General features: G+C 36.9%; 1 protein-coding gene across 2 annotated transcripts in view; it reads right to left on the reverse strand.

The window, feature by feature from the left end:
* RAB11FIP2 (RAB11 family interacting protein 2) overlaps positions 1-22,623 on the reverse strand; it is a 42,026-nt gene that overhangs the window by 7,868 nt on the left and 11,535 nt on the right. The window contains exons 4-5 of one of the 2 annotated variants that reach the window (NM_001330167.2): positions 21,199-21,258; positions 2,282-2,327 (exon numbers count right to left, since the gene is read on the reverse strand). In NM_001330167.2, the coding sequence (NP_001317096.1) occupies positions 2,282-2,327; positions 21,199-21,258 (106 nt within the window). The remainder of the gene's footprint in view (positions 1-2,281; positions 2,328-21,198; positions 21,259-22,623) is intronic. The other variant, NM_014904.3, reaches the window with a different exon arrangement.

Raw genomic sequence — 22,623 nt, forward strand, 5'->3', positions numbered from 1 at the left:
ACAGTACTCCATACAGACAGCACTTATGTTTTTAAGATGTTTTCTTATTTTGAAATTTAATGTAAATTTTTCTTCTCTCTTCCCCTTTTACAACCAACCTTTTCTCATTTCTACTCCACCTCTGTTAAAAATGTCCATATGCAGACATAGAAGATGTGGACTGGTAAGAAAATATTAGAATTACTACATGAAGTTTTCTAACCCAGAATTTTAAATAATACAGTTTTGCATAAGATTTTGAGAACTGCTAGTGATCTATTTTTGCTTTACACAGTCTAGCCTTTTAAACTAGGAAATGTACATTTTTTACAATATTTAAATTTAAACAAAAGCAAATTATCAAGACTCAAAATAACTGAAGATTTAAAGAAAGGTTGTCCTGGTAACCAAATATTGGTGGGGTACTAACTGACATCCAAGGCAACTAGAGGAGAGAGAGAAAAAAAAATGAAGGCTTGGCATTCTCTGATCATCTCATTATTGTTCTAATGAGGAACTTTGCTCTGGGAATATCATCTCAGCTACTTTCACATCTTTTGTCCTACTCCCTTCATCTCCCTTTCAGTTCTTAATTAGGCCTTAAAGAGCTCACACTGCCCTTTCAACTGGCTACTGCTCCTGTTTAAACACTGTGCTTTCACAGACAGGTGTTGGCACTAGCATATAAGACATACAAACTTAATTACAAAATACTATGTCCAGAGGGAGAAAAAATAACTTGGTGGATGGCTATTATTGGAGAACTTAATGTAAATTACTTCAAACATCTTATAATCTTCAACATAAAAATTGTTCGAATGCTTTTCTTCAATCATGATCAGTACGAAGATGCGCTTCCTCCTCTTAATTGTATCTTGCAGTAAATTAACAACACCTAGTAATCCTTTAACTGTCATTTAGAATAGTTAGTATTCCAGAGAAAAATAATCACACATCAAGGATTCTTTTATCACCTTTAAATCCTTTAACTAAAACAATTTTCACATTTTATTTCTTTAAAGAATTCTAAGGATGCTTCTACAGCAATAAATTACAAGATTTGGAAAAGTACATTTACAAGCAATCGAAATTGTAATTAAGGTTACTTAATAAACAATAGCTACACATTAAATCGATTTTTTTGATGTTGCATTTTGTTTGAGATTAAGTAACCGCCTGATAGAATTCATTTTACTATCTGATCAAAGGCTGACTTCATATTTTCTCACATTTCTCGCCAGACTGCCATATTATAAAGACTTGAGAATTTATAAAACATCAAAACTTACGAATCGTTTAAATAAAACAGCAAAAACACAGTACAAAGTCCTGTGCTTCTGTAACAGTTTCCACAATTTTAAAGATAAACAACTGCATTTAGAATGGTTTAGAAAATAAACCCTAAACCCACCTTAGCTTCTTCTAGCCATGTCACATCCTAAAAAATAGTGATATGTGATATGGGATTGCCTAAAAAAATTCTTACTATACATCTGGATCGCACACATCAAGGACAGATGGTTGAAACAGCAACCACCAGTGTCTTGGAATAAAGCCTCTATTTCTGTTATTCAGTGAGAATTTAGTTTTCTACCAAGAACGTTTGCCCATATTTTGGCAAAGTAATTTATTCTCTACGTTTAATATAGTTAGAATTGATTGCAGATGCAATGGAACTCTGAACAGAGATTAAATACTGGACTTCAAATACTACAATAAAGTTCAGATTATCTGAATAATCCTTGCAAAATACGTGAGTTGATTTAGGTGGTCGCTACCAATCCTGTTAACATATTTGGTTTTGTTCTGACGAGAAAGATAAGTGTCCTAAAGTATTTGTTCTTTCAAATACTTTCCTGGTTATCTGGCTCTCCTGCCAGGATGCTTTTCTATTGTTGAATGTTAACAAGCAGCTTTATTCTTTCTTCAATCCTTGTCCCAACAACAACAAAAAATAGTCTTTTCTACGTGCTCTTATTTCATAACCACAAATTTGACCCTGACATACAGCTTGCATATTAATTTCAAAAGTCTGTAAACAAAATATGTATATTCTAAATTGGCTTCAATTATAACCAATTTTGCTTGAACTTTCATAGATCATACGAGTCACACCCTATTGTATATTAAAGGCAAAGATTGTATTTTACTTTCTTTCTTTCTCCTAAAATTACTACGCTAAGCTACAATTCTTAGGTAAGTGAGGCAGAAGGCAAGAAGACAAAGGCATTTTTAGAAATGTGTGCCAGAGAAAAAGACCAGCTTACTCTTTGACAACCCTCTAACCCCTTCAGCAACTTACCGGGATTTTCCTGAGGTCTTCATTGCTTGTTGGACTCATATGAAAACTAATAAAACACAAACAAATGTTAAAAGTGTCATAACTCATGTGGGAGGAAACATAAAAATAGAAAAATTTTAACCAACATTGTAATACAAATTTCTAAAGCCCTACATTATTCAGAGGAGTGAAATTTAATCCAAGAAGTAGAAAAAAATCCAGTATTTCCCCAACATTCTTAAAGCATCATTACAATTTCAAACTTTGAAGGAAAACTTTTTAGTTATCAGAACTGAAGAATGAAATAGGAAGTTTCTAAACAACTTTAAACATAGCACTTTTATCCAGCAAGATATTTTGCAAAACTAATTTGTGTGAGAGATTTCCCATTATATTTACACACAGTCACTCACCTTAGGCCCTCTGATATAAAACTAGGGAGAATTAAGTAAATTTAGGTTGGAAAGATTATAGAATAAAAGAGTTAAAGCAATCTGTTTAAAAATGCCATAAGTGTTAGAAAACTCAGCTTTCAAACATTACCCTATCAATAAGAATAAATTCAGAATTGTGGGAAACATTTCTCTCGTTAATGTGATTTCTAAGTAGCTAGTCTTGAAAATTTAAATACTGAAACGAATCAAAACAACACAGATTTCTCCCATGCAGAGAAGAAAACATCACAGCTGAATGCTATAACTATTTTCTTCTTTGAAACATGTCCATTAGATGGGACTGCAACCAAAAGACGCTAAACTTCAAAGCCATCTGATGAGTAAATATTTCATCGGTGCTATTCAAGTTTAATTTTTACCCAGCACTTAAAGGTATTAGCCTTTAAAACCTTCACAAAGCATTAGTGTCCTAAGAACCTTTTTATTCCATGCACAAAACAACAACTGTAAAATATGTATGTTTTCATTATCTGTCCCTTGCCAGTAAAATAACTGGCATCCTTTGAAGATTTAAGAAATTTACTTTTAAAACTTTTGATTGTGTGACAAAAAGTCTGGACACTGGATATAATGTTGGTAAAGTATCTGTAATTACGTGTACAAATCCTACGCTCTAAGATGTACAGGGCACACATGTACAACCACCTCCAGAGAGTTTCCCATGTAACCAAGATTTCACTGGCTATGACTAAGATTTGAAGTACTAGCTTCCAGAAGTGATTGTTCGCCTTTTCTAACTAGAACTCCTGAGGATAAATTGAGTATTTCAGCAGAGCTGGGTTGCATGTAGAGAGAGTGAAACATGTTTTAAAAACCTACAAAGCACCAGTTAAAGGCCTGTGTGGCTGGCACATTTTCTTAACATCTTTATGGTATTCTGCATGGTCCTGGACTCAAGTCACTATACCAGCAAAGCATCAAGAGCCCACAAAGGAGTGGCTTAAAAGACAAAAACTAAATCCAAAAAGCATTCTCACATAGTCCACCTTAGCCTAGAGTGCCGTGGTAGCAGCTGCTAACACATGTGGTTTCCATCCTCTCTGATTTTCGATCCAAGGTAGCCAACAGGGGGTCCAGTGGGATTAATCTCTCCTACCCCATTATCTCACAGCATGTTTTCTAATAGGTCAAGAAACACATTCTGCTACATCTCCCATCTGACTGGGATATTCTAAAAAACAAAATGATATACACTCAGGCCCGACAGCATACAAGGTGCTTGCAAGCAGAGAAGTGGCTGGAGCCAGGTGGTGTGAATTCAAATCCTGTTTCTGCCCTGTGACCTTGAGCAAGTTACCTAACTTTGATTATGTCTTGGTTCCCTCATCTGTAAAATGGAGATGGCAACAGTATCTACCACATAAGACTCCTGTGAAGATTCAATGAGTTAACTACATGGAAAACACTTAGCACTGTGACTACCAGATAGAACATTATTTCATAAATAAAATAATGAAATAATTATTTCATAAACTTTTACATAGCACTTAATGTGTGCCAGATGCTATTCTAAGCACTTTACCAAAATTAACTCATTTAATCTTCATGATCCTTACGGTAGTCTTACGGCCCAGTATCTTCCACATCTTCATTTTAAAGGTAAGGAAACAAGTCACAGAGAGGTTAGGTAACTTGCGTGTGGTCATTCTGTTAGTAGCTGGTGGAGCTGTGTGGCTCTAGACTGCGTCCTCCTATGATACACAGCCCTAGCCCCATTCCCTGTATACAGATTTACTTAGTGAGCACTGGCTGCACTGCGGAAGCCCTGAACATATAGGCCACATAGATGAATCAGAGAATAACAATGTTGCATTTCAAGAAGGCACACGGTAGAGATGTACTTGTGGGAGGTGGGGGAGAGCACTCCGGATAATTAAATTTTTAGACCTCATAGAGAAATGAAATGTTCTATCACAGCAATTAGTCAAGGAATGCCTAATTCATGGAAAAAGCAGGATTTAAAATGACATGAAGGATATGTTTGGCAGGCTAGACAAGGAGGGCTCTGCAAACATATGGCGTGGCCTGGGGCTGTCAGACAGTAGTGTCGCTGCAGGACACGGAGGAGACTGGCAGCGAGGCAGCAGGGTCGGCAGGAGCCCATAAAGGTTCTGATGACGCATTCCTCAGGCCCAATCCGTAGAGCAGGAGGTAAGCTTTGGACAATGTTAATCTTTTCTTGTAAATATTTAAACATTTTATATTTGGTGGCATAATCCATCTCATTGTATCCTTGAGATTGAACAGTATTATGACTATACAAATTTCAGTATATGTCTCAGGAAAAAATCACTGAACTAAGAAACAGAAATATCGGTATTATACTTATTGCAATAAGGGTTTTCAAGGAACAACATTTAGGACAAAGATTTTATCAAAATCACAAAACTAACCATATGTAGTAGCCAATCACAGCTTATAAAACTAAAATGCAACTCAATGGCTGCTCAAAAATGCCTGAGAATTCCTAAGAATGCTGAAAATGTCGCAACTCTAAGGGGAAGGGTTTGCAGTGCGGCAAGCCCGGCTACTTCCCATTCTACCTGAGTGATCTGAGCCACTCTCTCCAGCTCCCCACAGTGCAGATCTGAGTGAGAGGCTCTTGTACTGGGTATTGTCTGAAGTCTAAAGGCAGAACCCCTCCCTTGTGGTCTGCTTTATATTCACACACTGACGTGTCAAACACTTGACGAACTCAGTCATTCATGGCTGCCTTTTTTGATCTGTCCTTAATGGGGAAAAAAGAGTTAACTGAACTGGATTGAATTAGCTTGGTGAAAAATAAAATGTCTCTATTTATTGAAGTGTGGCACCAATTTGTGATATCTTTCTCTTTGGACTGCCGTCCTCATGTCAGACAAGATATCGAATAATCCGGTCTGACTGCTCAGCCGAGCTGCTGACAGGTTAAGGAAAATGGTGTTTTTAATCAGGTGCAAAATAAACCTAGATACACTCACATTTAAAAAGGAGTCTATGTAAAATGAAACTACAGAATTTAAACATTTTAAATTAGTATTTTAAAAGTTATTTTAAATAAAATGACTTACCTTAACATTCTGAAGTTTTTATGCAAAAGCATCAACAGTTTTACTTTGAGATATTTCCAAATATTAAAGAATTTTCCCCAGTAAACTGTAATTCTAAAATTTGAAATGTTTTCAAATATTTCTAGGAATCACTAGTATCTCTTCTACAATATCACTTGTTAATTTACCTCAAAGTTAAAATAAATAATAAGTAAAGAGATAAGAAATAAATCAGTGAGGTCTTGAAACTGTCCTTTAATTTGTGCTATGGACTAACCTTCCATATATCGGCCAGAAAATAACTCAATCATTAGAGCAAAAAAACTGTTCACCACAGTAATCACTACGGCATGTGGCAGAGATCAAAGTGGGTTTTTTTTGTTTTTTTGTTTTTGTTTGTTTCTCTTTCTTAAACATATATATTCTTTTGGAACAAGAATACCTAAGGAGGAGAAACTATTCAGAGTAAAAAGTGTACAGTGCTTGCAAAGATTAAAAAAAAAAACCCTACATAAGAACAAAGATCTATTAAAACTGGTTAAGAGTGCTTTTATAAGACAATGTAAACCATAAATTCCTGGTTCTAGGATTTTAAATCTTTCAATGAGAAGTCACATAACAACAAGCTCTTTGGAGGGCATTTAAAAATAAGTATTTTTAAGTATTTAGAGTATTATTACACCTTCCATAATATCTCTTTCCAAACCCCACTACTGCTGGAATTACAAAGCAAAGTCCATTTTGGCCTACACCTTGACTCATTTTGTATTTAAGAAGTGAATTCAAATTAAATGTGAAATCCAGGAGGTGTGCCACCTGGCTGGCAGGAGGGAAGAGGAGGAAGAGGGAAGGGGCAAGACAGGAGTAACTTTCTCAAACGCCAGTCAACTCCTTATTGTGTATGGCAAATAAGTATAACTTCAAATTATCACAGAAGAACTGACATTAACTATTTTCCAAGGAGTGTGTCCTATTGATCTTAACCAAGTGGGCTCTAGAGACTTGGGGATTCACGGCTGGGCATGGTGGCTCATGCCTGTAATCCCAGCACTTTGGGAGGCCGAGACAGGCAGATCACGAGGTCAGGAGATCGAGACCATCCTGGCTAACACGGTGAAACCCCGTCTCTACTAAAAATACAAAAAAAAATTAGCCGGGCGTGGTGGCAGGCGCCTGTAGTCCTAGCTACTCGGGAGGCTGAGGCAAGAGAATGGCATGAACCCGGGAGGCAGAGCTTGCAGTGAGCCGAGATCGCGCCACTGCACTCCAACCTGGGGGAAGGAGCGAGACTCTGCCTCAAAGAAAAAAAAAAAAAAGAGACTTGGGGCTTCACTTTCATGACAAAGGTATATACTGAGAACTGTGACATAATATAACAAAAATCTTCAGTGAGTCTAAAAGGAGGAAAAGAGAAACACCCCGTGTATTTCATCGATAATGAAGCATAGAAAAACATCCTAAAAGCAATTGTATTTATTGGACTTTAACCATGGTAACTTTCTGAGCACTTTACATGTTAACTCACTTAATCCTTGTAACAATCCTATGACCTGAGTGCTCTATTTATCCTCATTTACAGATGAGGAAATGGGCACAGAGATGGTAAGGTGCAAGGTAACACAGTTAGTAAGTGGCCCAGTTAGGATGAAAGAAAGGCAGCCCCACTCCACAGTCCAAACTCTTTAGTCATAAACTCTGCTTCTTCCACAGAGCTGCTCTAAACTGTCAGTTCTACTGTGAGCTCACTGTTGGCTGGTTTCAATGAGTCCAGGGCAATTTCATGAGGCTTCTTCCAATCAGAAATGATTCAGAAAAGTCTTAGATTTAGTCTAAAAGAGACAGAATAATGGCTGAAATGCAACAGGTTTGGAAATAACTGTGCTCTTGATTTTCTGTTTGCCCCTCCTGCTCCACTCTGACCCTCACTGCACCCCAGGATACTGACCTCTGGAGAGTGTATCACCTGGGCTTGCCCACTGGCTTATTATGTTCTGCCACCGGGAGGCACCTCCAAGAGGATGGAGCACTGAAAGCATAGGAGGCAGGGTATTTACTCCCCTTCCCCCAGCCCCATCCCAGCACCGCTCCCCTGCCTCCCTGCTGGGCTGCAGTAGCATCTCTACCTACAGCCACAGCTGCAGCTAAGCATGCAATGCTGGTCCCTGGTGCTGTACTATTCCTTCTTGATGTCCTTAACCCTGCAGACACCTCCCCACTAAACTTCCCTCAATTATTCGTTTTGAGTGTGTCATTTGTTTCCTATTAGGTTCTTAACTGATACATGAATATAAAATAAATGCCATAAACCATTCACTTAATAATGTAAAATAATTTAGGACAAAGGTTTGTTCTATTTCTCTATTAGAAAGAAAGAAAGAACCAAAGAAAAATAATTACTCATATGAATTACCTATACTTTCCTTTGCCCTTCAATTTCTGGCGTATGCTCCATAACTACTTATTTTAACTTTTTTTTTTCAAAATATGCATAGCCTCTTCTTACTTTGTAAATGATAATTCACTGCTAGCCTCCCCCAACCCACCCTGCCTACACATACACACACACACAAACTCCTGGCCTTCATTTAACAATATGCTTTTCCAATTCACAGAGCTGGAGTACTTGTGTTCAAAATTATTTTCCATTTAGGATTGCATTTTTAAAGATTCATTGCTCCTGCAGTATGTAAAATGGTGTAATTACTTCAAGTGACTTGGATTTGAATAATACCACCTCATATTTACATTTTGCCTTACAATTTATAAGACATTTTCACAAACTGAATTTCTCTGAACATGTTTCCAAAGGAACAGTAATCAATAAAATCTTATACCATAAAATCTCATACAATCAGAATCCCATCTGATCAATCTCACCTCTGACACTCCCTCTCTCCTAGAGACCTGCTGGTGCACTCCCACTATCATCCCAGTTGTCTCCTAATCCACCTGTATTTACTCACTAGGACTCGTCGACAGTCCATTATCTCTTGGACATTCTACCATTTTTATTTTGCCAATCTCTAAACCCTACCAAGTAGCCCTTGCTGACTTTGTTACCTTGACTCATTCATATTCTTTAATCTGAAACACAACTCCCACCACCAATACTCATTGCTTCTTTGACGAAGGTCACCAAAAAACTATTTTCACTAAAATCACCTCACTCTTTAACCTCTCAGCTCCATGTGATACCAAATGGGTGCTCCTTTTTGAAACTCACTCTTCCTGCTATCTGGTAGCCTAACTTTTGTCCTATATTTCCAATCACTCCTTTTCCTTGTTATCTTCCTCTTCACCCTTAGGTGGGAAACACTGGATATTTCTTAAGGTTGTTTTCAGGCCTTTTCCGCTCTACCTCGGAGATTTCATATTCTCTCACCACCAACTACCATCCCTATATGGATGGAGGAGTAGTAAATCTTTTCAACTACCAATCTCTTTACCCTTTATAATGTCATGCTTACAAATGTCTGATCAAAATCTTAGATCGAATATCCTACCTGTCCCTGAAAGACCAATCATGTCTTTTAGAACAGTTCTGTCTGGTTTTCTTCCTACTCATACCACCAATCTCCTGCGCACCGAAGGTGAAGCCTCAGAGACACCCTTCACTCCAGTCTTCAGCTTACATGCCTCACAAATAAACTGCCATGTTCTCACCATTCAGCCTCTGCCACAGAACTCTCATCGTTTCCTCCCTGCTCATTTTTACTGCTACCTTTCTGACCATAAGACCAAACTGTCTTCTGCTGACACTACTGCAACAGCCTCTTCACAGTCTCTGCCCATCCCTCCTTGTCCAATCCAGCCTATGCATACTGAATATGGCGTTCTCAAGCTCAAGTCTAACCTCATTATTCGTCTGTCAAAAAACTTTTGACCTCTAACCTCCTCCTGAATAATGACAAAATTTCTTAGACTGGCTTTCAAAGTCCACTGGATTTTATCCAATTTACCTTTCCAGACTTATTGCCCATCCCCTAATGCCAAGGAACAATCTACTTCACTGCTCTAAATTTCAAATTAAGAAACAGAAATGCTACCATCTATTTCGTAGAATTAAAAGAGGGTTAAAAGAAATGAGTATGAAAATGGTTTGTTTGACAAAAGTGCTTTTCAAATATATGGTATAAAAGTTTGCTTCTGTGTATCTATCTTACCCCTGGATCCCCTCCCTTTCTACTGCAAGCCACTTAAAGGAAGGAACCATATCTCATTCCTCTTTTCATTCTTAGCATCTGACACAGTGCCAGCATGAAAAATTCCTAACAAAAGTATGCTGAATACATTAATAACCAGTACTTAATAAAAATGTGTAAAAACCGGGGTGAGTTGACTGAGTACATCTATGTTAGGGCAATATAAGTTCCACCAACAAGATACCAAGTCCCCAAAGAGTGGAAGAAATAATCTTCCTGAATAAGAAAGATTACTTATATCTATACCTGATGATACATTAGTGGAGTGTTTTTCAGTTCTTTTTAAGATACGAAGAATTATTCTCATATTTAAGTCAATAGGAATTAAAACACATTTTCAAACTGGTGGACTGCCAACAGAATCAATTCAATTAGCCAGTTTATCGAGTATACCAACTAGGTCTACCAGGATAGGTATTTGACACAATACAGATTAATTAGAGATTTTTCTGGTAAATCCTGAAAACGTTTATTCCACAGAGGTTACATGTTGAAGTTTTTGTTTTTTAATGTTCTTTAATAATGCTCTTTCCAAAGCTCTAAAAAAGTGAAGTGCCCAAAGAGATTCCACTAAAGAGATTTCATTGGAATCTTTAGCACATTCCAATTACGTTCATTATACATGCAAATAAGCCTTAAGAGGCAAGACGAAACTCAATATTTTTTCTTTCTTTTTAGAAAAAAGCAAAAAACTCAGTACCAAATCAAATTAATGATATTACAGATGAAAAGACTACATTCTGTCTCCTGGGACTGGGCATGTACACCAAAACCTCGATGACAAAACAGAACCTAATACATAAATGTCTATGGGGATTAACAGTAATTTACTTATTAATATTCTCATGGGGTATCTTTTATGAGCTCTCAGAGGCAAGACAATTAAAAATTGTGGTCAGTGACACCAAAGATCACGGACAGCAAATTCAGACCTAGCTGCTTTTCCATAATGAATAATAATGAATATGTTGTTGGTGAAAGTCCTAGAACTTGAGGATTTAAAGACATCAATGAAATTAAGGCTTGGTTTGACTATTATAATAGTCAATCAAGTCTAACTTACACATTTCTCCTGGTAAAGAACAGAAATAGGGGCTCACGCCTGTAATTTCAGCACTCTGGGAGGAGGCAGGCGGATCACTTGAGGTCAGGAGTTCAAGACCAGCCTGGCCAACATGGTGAAACCCTGTCTCTACTAAAAAATACAAAACTTAGCCGGATGTGGTGGCATGTGTCTATAATCCCAGCTACTCAGGAGGCTGAGGCAGGAGGATTGCCTGAACCTGGGAGACGGAGGCTGCAGTGAGCTGAGATCACGCCACTGCACTCCAGCCTGGGCAACAGAGTGAGACTCTGTCTTAAAAAAAAAAAAAAAAAGAATAGAATAGAAATAATTATTTCAAAGACAGTCAAACAACCCACAAATCTCAACATAAAGCCTATGGATTCCAAAAGTTCTCCATTCCTTTAAAACTAAGCTTCTCACCCTTTTTTCTCTTTAATATTCTAATACATAAGAATAAATCCAACAACAAGCATACAATTTGACATCTCAAGTTAAAAACTCAGATGAATTTTTGCATTTTACTAATATAATCATGTGTCTCTTGATATAAAATGAGTATTTTCTCCCTGTATCTTTAGGAAATGTGTCACTTTGGGAAGCTGTGTTGCGTTTGGTCTGTTCCCCTGAGTAGACCCTTGCCCGCCACCTTCTACGTATCCATTAGTCATCATCATCGTGTGTGTGTGTGTGTGTGTGTGTGTGTGTGTGTGTGTGTGTAAACAAGTCCTGTTCATTTTAGCAGCAAAACAGTGGGCAGGAGTGATGACAGCAAGGCACCTGCAGGGCCAAACCCAGCACAGGCTCTGCCTGTCTACGTGATCAAGACAGACCCAGCAGTCTTGATCAAGCTTTTCCTGCAAGGAGGGAGTGTAAGGATAATGTGGAGAGATGTGACTCTTCCATGAGGGTGCAAGCAAGGCATCCCTGGTCCCTGTGAAGCAGGTGAAAAAAGACAGACGGCCCACAACACCCTGGCCAAAAGCATCCCAAGCTGGCTCTGTGTGGGCCTATGACAAAGCTATGTTTTGGAGAAGTCACGGTGTCCTCTGGTTACCAGGAAGGCCTCAGGTGTTTAAGAACAGCCTGCAATGAAGCCCCTGGCCAGCAAGCACCCACTTTCCTAGCCCCAGCCATCTCTGCAGAGGCTTCAAGGAGGGACATCAAGGCAGCCAGACTTCCAGGGGCCCCCCAGTTGGGTGATGCAAGCCACAGGCTCCTACACTTGCTTCTTAGAAGCAACTGCTGGCATGACTGGGGGATTTTCACCACTCTGCAACCCAAGCTGAGAAGCCCAGCCTTAAAACATTCTTGGCAGTCAAGAGTTTGTTTCAGTGGGGCTATTAAATTATAAAATTTTTGCCAGAAAAGAATATATTGTTTTGTGTAAAATAAAATTTCCAGGGCCATCCCCCAACAGATGAATACAATGATCTTATTAGAAATTGTACATTATCCTATCCAACTTTCAGTCAGCTTTTAAAAATGTTTCTGCGTGAAGAAAAAAAATAAACTATTCAAAGAACAGCTAAAACAGGTGCCCACTGATTTAAAGAGTGTACCTCTAATACACATTAATATCTGCAAATTTCTTATGCCACAATAATTTCACTATTGTCCTGCTTCTATAAGTTACATCATTAAAATGTTTCACTACAAGAAGTTTTTGTTCGGAATCTAAAATCACACTTAGAAACGCAGTTTTTCTGAGTTCATGTGCACCTCTTCCGATTCCGGCATTATTACGTATATAACAGCAATGGCACTGTTCTCTGAGTTTTCCTAAAATAGTATTTTCATCACATCAGTCATATATGGAAAACTCTTCATACATTCTATAGAATTAGATGCAAATTCTTCATTCTGGTATGCTAAATTCATACTAATAAGGTCACATCTTCACTACTACTTCTAACCCTTAACAGTTTTAGGCAGGTTAGGTCCCTGAGAACCACTTCACACATTCATTTTTACCTCTCTACCTTTTCTCATTTATCTTTACCTCTCTGTCTTCACAGATCCATCCTTCGAGACTTTTAGTTCTACCTTTTCTGTAATGCCTAGACTGCCTAACCTTATCCATCTAATCTATAATTTTTATCTCTATCAGCACTTACCAACTGTACCACCCAGGACAGTTATTTACAACTAGGACAATTAATTACACATTCTATATCTACCTGCTTATACTTTTAAAGACAGAGACTTTGCTTTGTGCATCCTTTGTATCAGAGTATCAACATAACCCTCACAGAGAAAGAACAGCAATAATACATATAACCAAGGAAAAGCAAAAATTTCCATCCCTTATCAAATTCAAAAATAAACATCTGAATCTTAGAATGTCACCCTAATATACACTGTCTGGTAGTCTAAAGATGGGAGGCACAAAGAGTTGCCATTATAAGATCTTATCCATCTCTGTAAGTACAAGAGATACTATTCCATAAAATGACGTGACGACAGTCTAACAATACTTAACATTCAAATTTTGGTTATGTATTTTTTTCTGTTAAGTGAAGAATATTTATTTTTTAAAACCAGGATGACAAAACATTAAAAATACAATGAATATTATTTCTGATATATTAAAGAACCTTGAATTCAGAGACTACTAGAGTAGAATTTTATACTCTTGATGAAAAACAAAGAGGGCACCTGCTCTGACACAGAAATAAAAGAGCCAACCTCCGAATCTTGGTTGGAAGAGAGACACCAGTGCCTGTGTGAATTTCCTAAGGCAAGTGCCCTTTTTACCAAAGGGGACTGAAATGTTCTGAGGAGTTTTCAATAAGCAGCCTTTATCTTTCTTACTATCACAGTCTGAACTGCCTTCTTTAACAATCTAATTTGAGCTCAGCCATCTGAGTTTATGAAATTGTCACCATGCCTTAATGGAAAGCCACAGCTTAGATATCTATCCTGCAATATCCTTATTAGTACTATGAAAGAATTTCTGAACATAAGACTTTACATCAATATTCACCATAATAGCTTTGCCTTATAAATTTTCTACTTAATACAGAGAATACTTTTACTTAATTTCAATGTGGTTTTAGTTTTATCTCATCAAAGATTATTGCTGAATATATGTCTTGAAAGATACTAGAAAAACCATCAAGTTTATTACTTCCTGCCAAATGTAGGTCCTTTATCAGTTGGTGAAAACCAGAAGCTTCTAAATTCTACTTTTATTTAAGTTTTTTTTTAAGTTGAGAAGATATTATTACTTGGAAAAAAATTCCACCTAATTTATTTAAAGCAATTGTTAAGTATTCTCTAGATGCTGTATATTAAGATCCTAGCAAGGGCTATCGTTTCTGGATGCACCATGTGTAAAACACTACCCTCAGCACTTTTTGTACAAGACATTATTTAATCTGTCCTACACCAAGGTTATTATCTCCATTTTACAGTTGGAAAAATGAGGTGTAGAAAGGTTAAGTAAGGCCACGCGGCTAACAGAGACTCAAACGCAGACCTGACTCCTAAATCTGAACTCTTAATACTTATCCTATACTCCCTTCAGAATATCCTATTATTAGTATTTCAATGTTTTCATGTTATACTGTAAAACCTTTCACTGAAAGAAGTGAATCAAATGTACTTTCTGAATCAAATATTAAATTATGTTCAGTATGATTTTCATTTTTAATTATTTGCAGCATTTAATTTCTTTGAAGATAAAAAGTCTCTATGAAACAAATGCATTGTATACTTCTAGAAAACAAAATATGTGATTAACTGGAACACCCCCATTCCCATACCAGGCTCTGTAACAAAGAGTTCATTATACTTCATGCAGAGCTGCTGCTGCGGCACACCCGCTAATTGGCTCCTTGGTAGCCTAAAGCAGCAAACATACTTCCTCAGGAACCTACCAGTCAGGGAATGACATAGAATATAGCTCCATGACTCCAACTAGAAAAGAAATGGTAAAATTACTAAGCTGTTAATAAACAGCTAATGATATAATAGTATTTAGTCACTTTTTATAAATTATCCCTTCAAAACTTATCTAATAATTTTCAAAAAGAGCTTTATTGCCGTTTACTAAAACAGAGTTGTCTATCTAGTCATGCCCCAACTTACAAAATGATGTTCCATGGTCAAGATCAAGCTCAAAGTTCTCCCCATTGAAGAAGCACTTCCCAATTTCCAGTAGACTGAACTGCTCTTTTCATCTACCTTTCCACAGTAAACTCCATGTACTTCTGTTTAACACAGTTTATTCTGCTTTGATTATAGGTTATTTCTTACATATCCCTCTCCATAGCTGGTGTGGCTAGGACTGTCATCCCCCATACCTCTCCAGCCCTAGCAGAGCTTTACACACAACATTTGTGAAACAGTTTTTTCTTAATAGCAATTTGAATTAAGGTATACTCTAAGAAGGCCAAGCTGATTCAACTAATTGCTTTTTAAGTGGTATCAGTACTTTTATCCAAGATTTCTAAGCTTAAATATATAAAATACATAAAGACATTTTGTTTGGTGTATAATATATTAAATATATAAGATTTTAATATTTATAAGTATTTATTACATAGAAATATATTAAATATATCATGTCAAAGACCAAGAATTAATCCTTAAAATATAAGTTCAAAGAGATAAATGTCAAATGTCTGGATCCTAATAGTCTTAGATACCAGTTACATGCAGGTAAGAAAAATCACTTCATAGTTAATTTGTATCACCAGCAGCTATTTAAAACACCTCCGCTACAAGGTAACTGTACCACCATAAATTAAATATACAGGAATGCTACCTGTATTTCAAAAGTTAAAGCATTATTGTCATGGGAAAAAAGTAATCACAGATGAGGTGATCATAGTGGCCCAACTGGAAATGTTCTAAACATAGAAGCCTGGAAAAGTAGTGTCCACAGAAGTGAGGGCTAATTATGTAAGAAATAGAAGTTATCCTCTTAGTGAGAAACTAACAAAAAGTGTCCAACAGAGACAAGCTTTGGTCAAGCCAAAACCACCTGAGAGAAATATATTTAGTAATGTCAATGCTAAGGTGAAAGAAACACTTTAAATGCATACTTTCACAACCAGTTACTGAAACTTCCACTCTTGTGTTCAAAGAAGCCAAAGTGTTTCAGTGCTAAAAAACAAACTTTCAAAAGCTGCTATTGTTTTCATGCTAACTTGCTAGTCTCAAACAATTCAAAACACCTAATTCCTAGTCTCTAAAAAAAAAACTAAAATAATATAGCACCTCATTAAAAAAACAAAAAGAAAAAATTCAAACCTTTCTATCAAGACTACAATCCCAAGTTTGATTCAAAGACTATAGACCTGACATTGTTGTACTAAATTAAATGGGTTTTAAAAATGTTACATTTCATTAAACTTAAGACACCAGCTGAAAACATACCATTGGAATAGTTTTTATTGTCTCTTCTCCCTTACCAGTCCCCCCAATACCCCCCTACCCAAAAGCAGAATGGGTAAGTCCCATAATGGGTAAATATTTCTCAAAGATGTTCCCTTCTTCTCCCTCCTCACTGCCAAATGACCTCCATCAACTCTCACTAAAACAATTATATTAACTTCCTAACTAGTTTCCCTGTCTCAAGTCCTTCTTCCCTTTCCCATCCTCTGTCCTCAACAGCTACTTCATGATAGAAGACATTAATTCAATCATACCACAAACCAACTTAAACATTTTCATGGTTCCCCAGTGTCTATACAATGTCCAACCCTTAATATGAAATTCAGACCTGATATTTACACACCTTTTTCTATGAGCACAAAGAGCAGGATTTATATCTCAACAATATGATTTCCTTATATACAGCAAATATTCCAAAAATAATAATGAAAATATCATTTGATTTTCAGAGCTGAAATTCAGAAAAAAATCATCCTGATGGGCTAGAGTAGCACCACTGAGACAGCAGGTAACAGAATGAATCAGGAGCCTCGCAAGGGCCTTCTTTATATTCTTAACCTTTAGAGTATAACATGTTCTTAATAAATGTTTGCTGAATGTGGGAATTTTCTGAGCCAAAACTCAAGATTCATACTTCAGAAATTTCAAATTTACACAGGAAATAACTGGACCAAATATTTGAAGTTGGGAATATAAAATCTCAGACTTGAAGGTAGCATAGGGGCATGACTGGAGGAACCTGGGCATAACATGTAAAAACCAAACTGGTGCCAGGGCCACATCTCCTCGCTGGCCTAGATCCTGACTGTTTTAAAGTAGACAAGGAAAGCAAGGTTAATTTGCAATAGGCAATTTTAGCCGACAAGTCACAGGTAAAAAATAAACTGAAAATAAATGTTTAAGACAATTTAGAATCATACAACTGATGTGCTTCCAATGCATTTTTCTCAAAATACACATGTTCATTAATGGCAATTAGCAAAGATTATTAATCTACATGTAACAACAATTAAAAATAATTCTCTCAAATGCTACCTTAAAAGTTAAACCAAAAACCTTACATGCTGATTTACAATAGTCAGTGCACTGGGGTCACTGGAATACAATCTTACTACTTTCCTATCAGAAACCTCAAGAGGGCTTACATGCTGTATCTTATATTTGATCATATCATAACAACTTGTTCTCTTTAAGTATTGGACTCGCTACGTGTTATCCAGTGTCCAGTGCCTAAGAGCTCGTTAATTACCTAAACTATATCTCCATAGGTCTTGTTAATTACCCGTCTCCTGTCTCAGAGGACCTTGTTAATAACTTGTACAGTCTCTCTAAAGAGGTCCTAACAACACATTAAAATTAAAGATGCTTTTCTTTTAGCACCTGTCAAGTGCTGTAAATTGAGAAATTTTCACATCAGTTTATTAGCCTACACTAGTTTTTGTGAATTTTTTTGGCCTGTTTTCTTCTCTCTCAGAATCTTGCTATATCTCAATCTCTCAAGAAAAAAAAAAAACCAGCAAAGTTTGTCTTTTTTGTTACAGAGCTTTTTTTGTTTTCAATTTTGAAGACTCTAAATATCAATTTGCATTAGAGTTAGCACAAGGATGGCATCGCTGGTATCTGCAAATTAACCCACTGGGAGATACACCAATTAATGAGAGCTATTATAATGAGTATTAGGATGACAAAGGGTAAAAAAGTTTCAAGTAGTATCTGGGGAGTTAAACATAAAAGTTCTAGTTAGTGTTAAGGGAACTAATCACGTTGCATACTTCGTGTTTATAGTCATTGTTTCATTGGATACATTCTGTAAATCTCTGAGCACTAATGGATTAATGGGTCTAAAAATCATCTCAAAAGTTTTTGTCTTCTGTCTCATAAATGAAGCCACAAATTTTCAAGTGTGTAAAAGATTTATAGCCTACCATGAATAACAGGCAAATTATCTTTAACACTAGACAAATATGAGCAAAAAGTAAATATTGCTATTAAAACAAATCCTTTGCATATTAAGGTTTATGATGCCAACGACTGAACTTTAAACTCATTCAGGAAAAAAAAGTCCATTGGGACATTATAAAAATGAAGGTTTAAAAACTATCAATAGGCTCTTTTTCTTTAGGATCATTTATTTACTATACTTTTTAAAAATCAAAATGTAAATTCTACAGTAAACAGTCTTTGACTTTTAATGAACATGTTACACAATTTCATAAAAATGGCTACATGCTTACAAGCTTATGGTGATTTGAAAATTAGAAAGACATTTAAATATACATTCCAGGTAACCAATTTTTTTGTACCTCCTGAGGAAGGTATGATACAAGCACAGACAGGAATTGACTCATTAAGGAAGGAAAGAAGGAAGAGGGGGAGAATCAGGTAGACCTGACCTCAGAAGTGGAAGGCACACTGCCATGAAAAATCACTAAAACATTACAAGTCTGCATCTTAGATACTATTTCTGTACCATCCTAAAATATAACTATTTGGCGTGAGATCATCTGCTAAAAAGGAGGGAGGCTCTTCCACCAAACATTAAAAATGGAAATACATGCTTTGGAAAATCAATTAATACTAGAAATAATATTACAGAACATACCATTTAGTTATTCAGGAGTAGTTAAGAATTTGCTACATGGCATTCACAACTACCACAGTAGAGCAGAAAATAATGGAGTGAAAGCATGTTCTTTCTATGAGTCACAAATAGAAGGTCGGTCCCCAAACAAAATTCTCTGGTAAAAATATCTCCCATTAAATTATTACTCTCAGAACAGCTGCCCCCCTAACATCAAACAACAGAAACTCATCACACAGAGTAGTAGGCTTATATTGATTTTTTTAAAAAAATTCAGAATAAGACATACATAAGCAATTTTCTCTAACAGACAGAAAATCTTACTCTCTCAATCTTATTCTCTCAAGCAGAATTCCCTTCAGTAGGTGGAGTTCTGTGGTCCTGAAATTTTTCAAGGAACTTACACCTCCTTCAAAGAATACACATCATGGAATTTCTCCTCAATTTACCATGGGTAGCATACAAATAGAAGCATATTTTTAAGCGTCATTCATCACTATTGACTCTCAGGTTTTACCTCAATCCTGAGAAACAATTCATTCATAGATGCCATAAATATTTAATAGACTTTTCTGCCTGGTCTTCAATGCTCACTATAATTTAGGGTGTGTGTGTGTGCATTAGGTGCGTGCGTGCGTGTGTGTGTGTTTAACCTATTCAGCCATATCTTTTACTCCTTTCCACCATATCTCTGTTTTAGCCAAGCTAACTTCCTTACTATACCCTCTACCTTAGTTAGGGACCTGCAAGCAGAGCTAATATGACTAAGTTGTCTAATTTAAGTACGCATTTGCCAGCACAATTCCTGATCTCCATTCACAGTGAATACTTACTGAAAGCTTAGGAAATAAAGTAGTCCCATCCCCTTATCTGTGGTTTTGCTTTCCACAGTTTCAGTTAACCACCATAGTCCAAAAATATTAAATGGAAAATTCCAGAAATAATTCCTAAGTTTTAATTTGCGTGTCCTTCTGAGTAGCCTCATGACATGGTAGGCCATCCGATTCTGTACTGCCTGGGATGTGAATCATCCCTTTGTTCAGTCCCTTTGTTCAGTGTACCCACACTGTCTACACTGCCTGCCCATTAGTTACTTAGTAGCCATCTCGGCTATCAGGTCGCCTATTGCAGTATTACAGTGCTTGTGTTTGAGTAGCCCTTATTTTACTTAATAATGGCCCCAATGTGCAAGAGGAGTGATGCTGGCATATTGTTGTAATTGTTCTATTTCATTATTATTGTTACTCTCTTACTGTGCCTAATTTATGAATTAAACTTTATCATAGGTATATATGTATAGAAAAAAAAACACAGGATATATAGGGTTCGGAACTGTGCCTGGTTTCAGGAATCCACTGGGGGTCTTGGAATGTATCCCCATAGAGTAGGAGGACCACTGTAGGTGATATAATATAGATTAGCAATTTTTAAACCCGATAGTCAATGGGAAGTTATTAAAATGTTGATTTTCATTTCAGGGCCTACTCACTAAAGATTCTAATTCAGTCAGAGGGGAGGCCCAACAAATTGTAGCTAAAAAAAAATAATCTCCAGGAGCCCTTGATGATCAGCACTGAGGTCATGCACAAATCTAGGTGCTGTGGTGCACCCAAGAAAGAGGATTCTGCACAACTGTTATGAAGCTTACACAGCTTAATATAAGACCTAGTACAATAAACATTGTATAGTAATTACTTCTTCTATATCAGCAGAAATCCAAAGGGAAACACGAGGTTATTACTCAAAAAAGAACACTCAGAGATGAGTTGAGAGTGCACCCCACAATTGAGCCCGGGAATGAAGACGGCATGGCTTACAAGGACCTCAGTGTAGAGACATGGCAGTAAGGAAATTAACTTACCTAGAACAGGTTGGTGAGGAACAGTAAAAGAAAACTTGGAAGGTTAAGAAAAGCCTAAAATACAACAAGCCTTAGAACGTTAGAAAGAGGAGTTTGGATTTGGTGTTGCAAACCAGTAGTTCTTAAACTTTTTTGACTAGGGCTTTCTTAAACACAACGAAAGGTACTACAGCCCATGTGCCCTCCTCAGTAGGATAAATAATGCTAAGTGCTCTAATAAATATATATATAAATCTCAGTAACTTATATCCTGTGAATTTATCATTTGGACAAGGGCCACTTGGCTATTCCTCGTCAGGTGGGCCTTCCACTTGCATGCAGAGACCCAGGCTGCTCCTACTTACAGCTCTGCCCATCTCAAAGATCCTCTCCATTCAGCTACTGCAGGGGTCAGCAAAGTATTTCTGTAAAGCCCAAACAATAAATAGTTTTAGCTTTGTGGGCCATATGGTCTCTGTCACAACTACTCAACGCTACCACCGTACACAATTATGACGATAATGCGGCTGTGTTCGAACAAAACTTTACAAAAACTGGCAGCAAGCCAGATTTGGCCTCCAAGCTTAGTTTGCCAATCCCTGGTCCAGGATATGGAGGAAGAGGCAAAACGGAGGATTGTGTTAAGAGTGTTAAGAGGACATTCCATGGGCCAGACCTGAAAGTGGTATACATCTCTTCCATGAACTCTTAAATAAGCCAGAACTTGCTATGTCCTAGTTAAAAAAAAAAAAGAAATGAAATGAACAAATTTGGCTTGGTGAAGACACACACCCATCATTTCCACTTTTAAGTGAAAAACAGCCTGGTGGTAACATTATTTACAATTTATTATTTGTGATTTTATAATATATTAAAAGATAATTTGTTGTGAACAAATTAAAAATGGTATAACAAACATTCAGGCATATTTGTTTTTGGCAAATGATATACTGCTGATAAAAAGAAGGATTACTTCGCAAATTGTGTGATAAACCAAATGATAAATTAGTTGACAATTTATTTGATAAAGCATGAAAAAAATTAGTTGATACTGATGATGCTAAACAACCTGTGACTTACAATTAAAAAACAAGACTAGTGGCAATTATAAAATACAAACAACTTAGTACCAGTAATAAACTGAGAAAACATTCTCCTGAAGATTACAAGAACTCCAACACTACTTACTGTATATGTGTCATAGGAGTTTTGCAGCATGCCAGCATTGGACAGCATCCCGACTTCTTAGTAGCAAGCTGATTAGGCATCAATGGCACACACAATATTGTAAGCTCACTAAACCCAATTCAGCTTCCTTCTGCGTATACAGCTAAGTCACAGTTCTTCACAGGTTGCAGTGAGGCTGGGGCACGGGTGAGCTCTGGCCAATGGGACATATGTGGAAGTAATGCATACTGCACTAGGCCTGGCACACAGAAATGACCCTCCTTTGATCCTCTCTCTCCTCCTGCGCTGCACTGATCTTGGAGGCCATGTGTTAAATGGTGGCATCACAAGAAGGAAGAAGCCTGCTTCCTGAGAGACTGTGCAGAGCTGGATGAATGCATAGAGCAAAGCACTCACTTTTCCTATCACCATTCCAGTGAACTCCTTTGTGACAAGAGTGAGCAATAAACTTTTGCTGTGATAAGCCACTGATACCGTGGTTATTACAGCTGACAACCTACCCTAATACACAGTTCTTAATAGTCTCCAGAAATGTGCTATTTAGATTGAATATTAAATTTTAGTAATCCTTTAAAACTTAGATTTTTAACAATGTTTAGTTG

This window comes from Homo sapiens, chromosome 10 (genome assembly GCF_000001405.40).
Source record: "Homo sapiens chromosome 10, GRCh38.p14 Primary Assembly".
Lineage (NCBI taxonomy): Eukaryota > Metazoa > Chordata > Mammalia > Primates > Hominidae > Homo > Homo sapiens.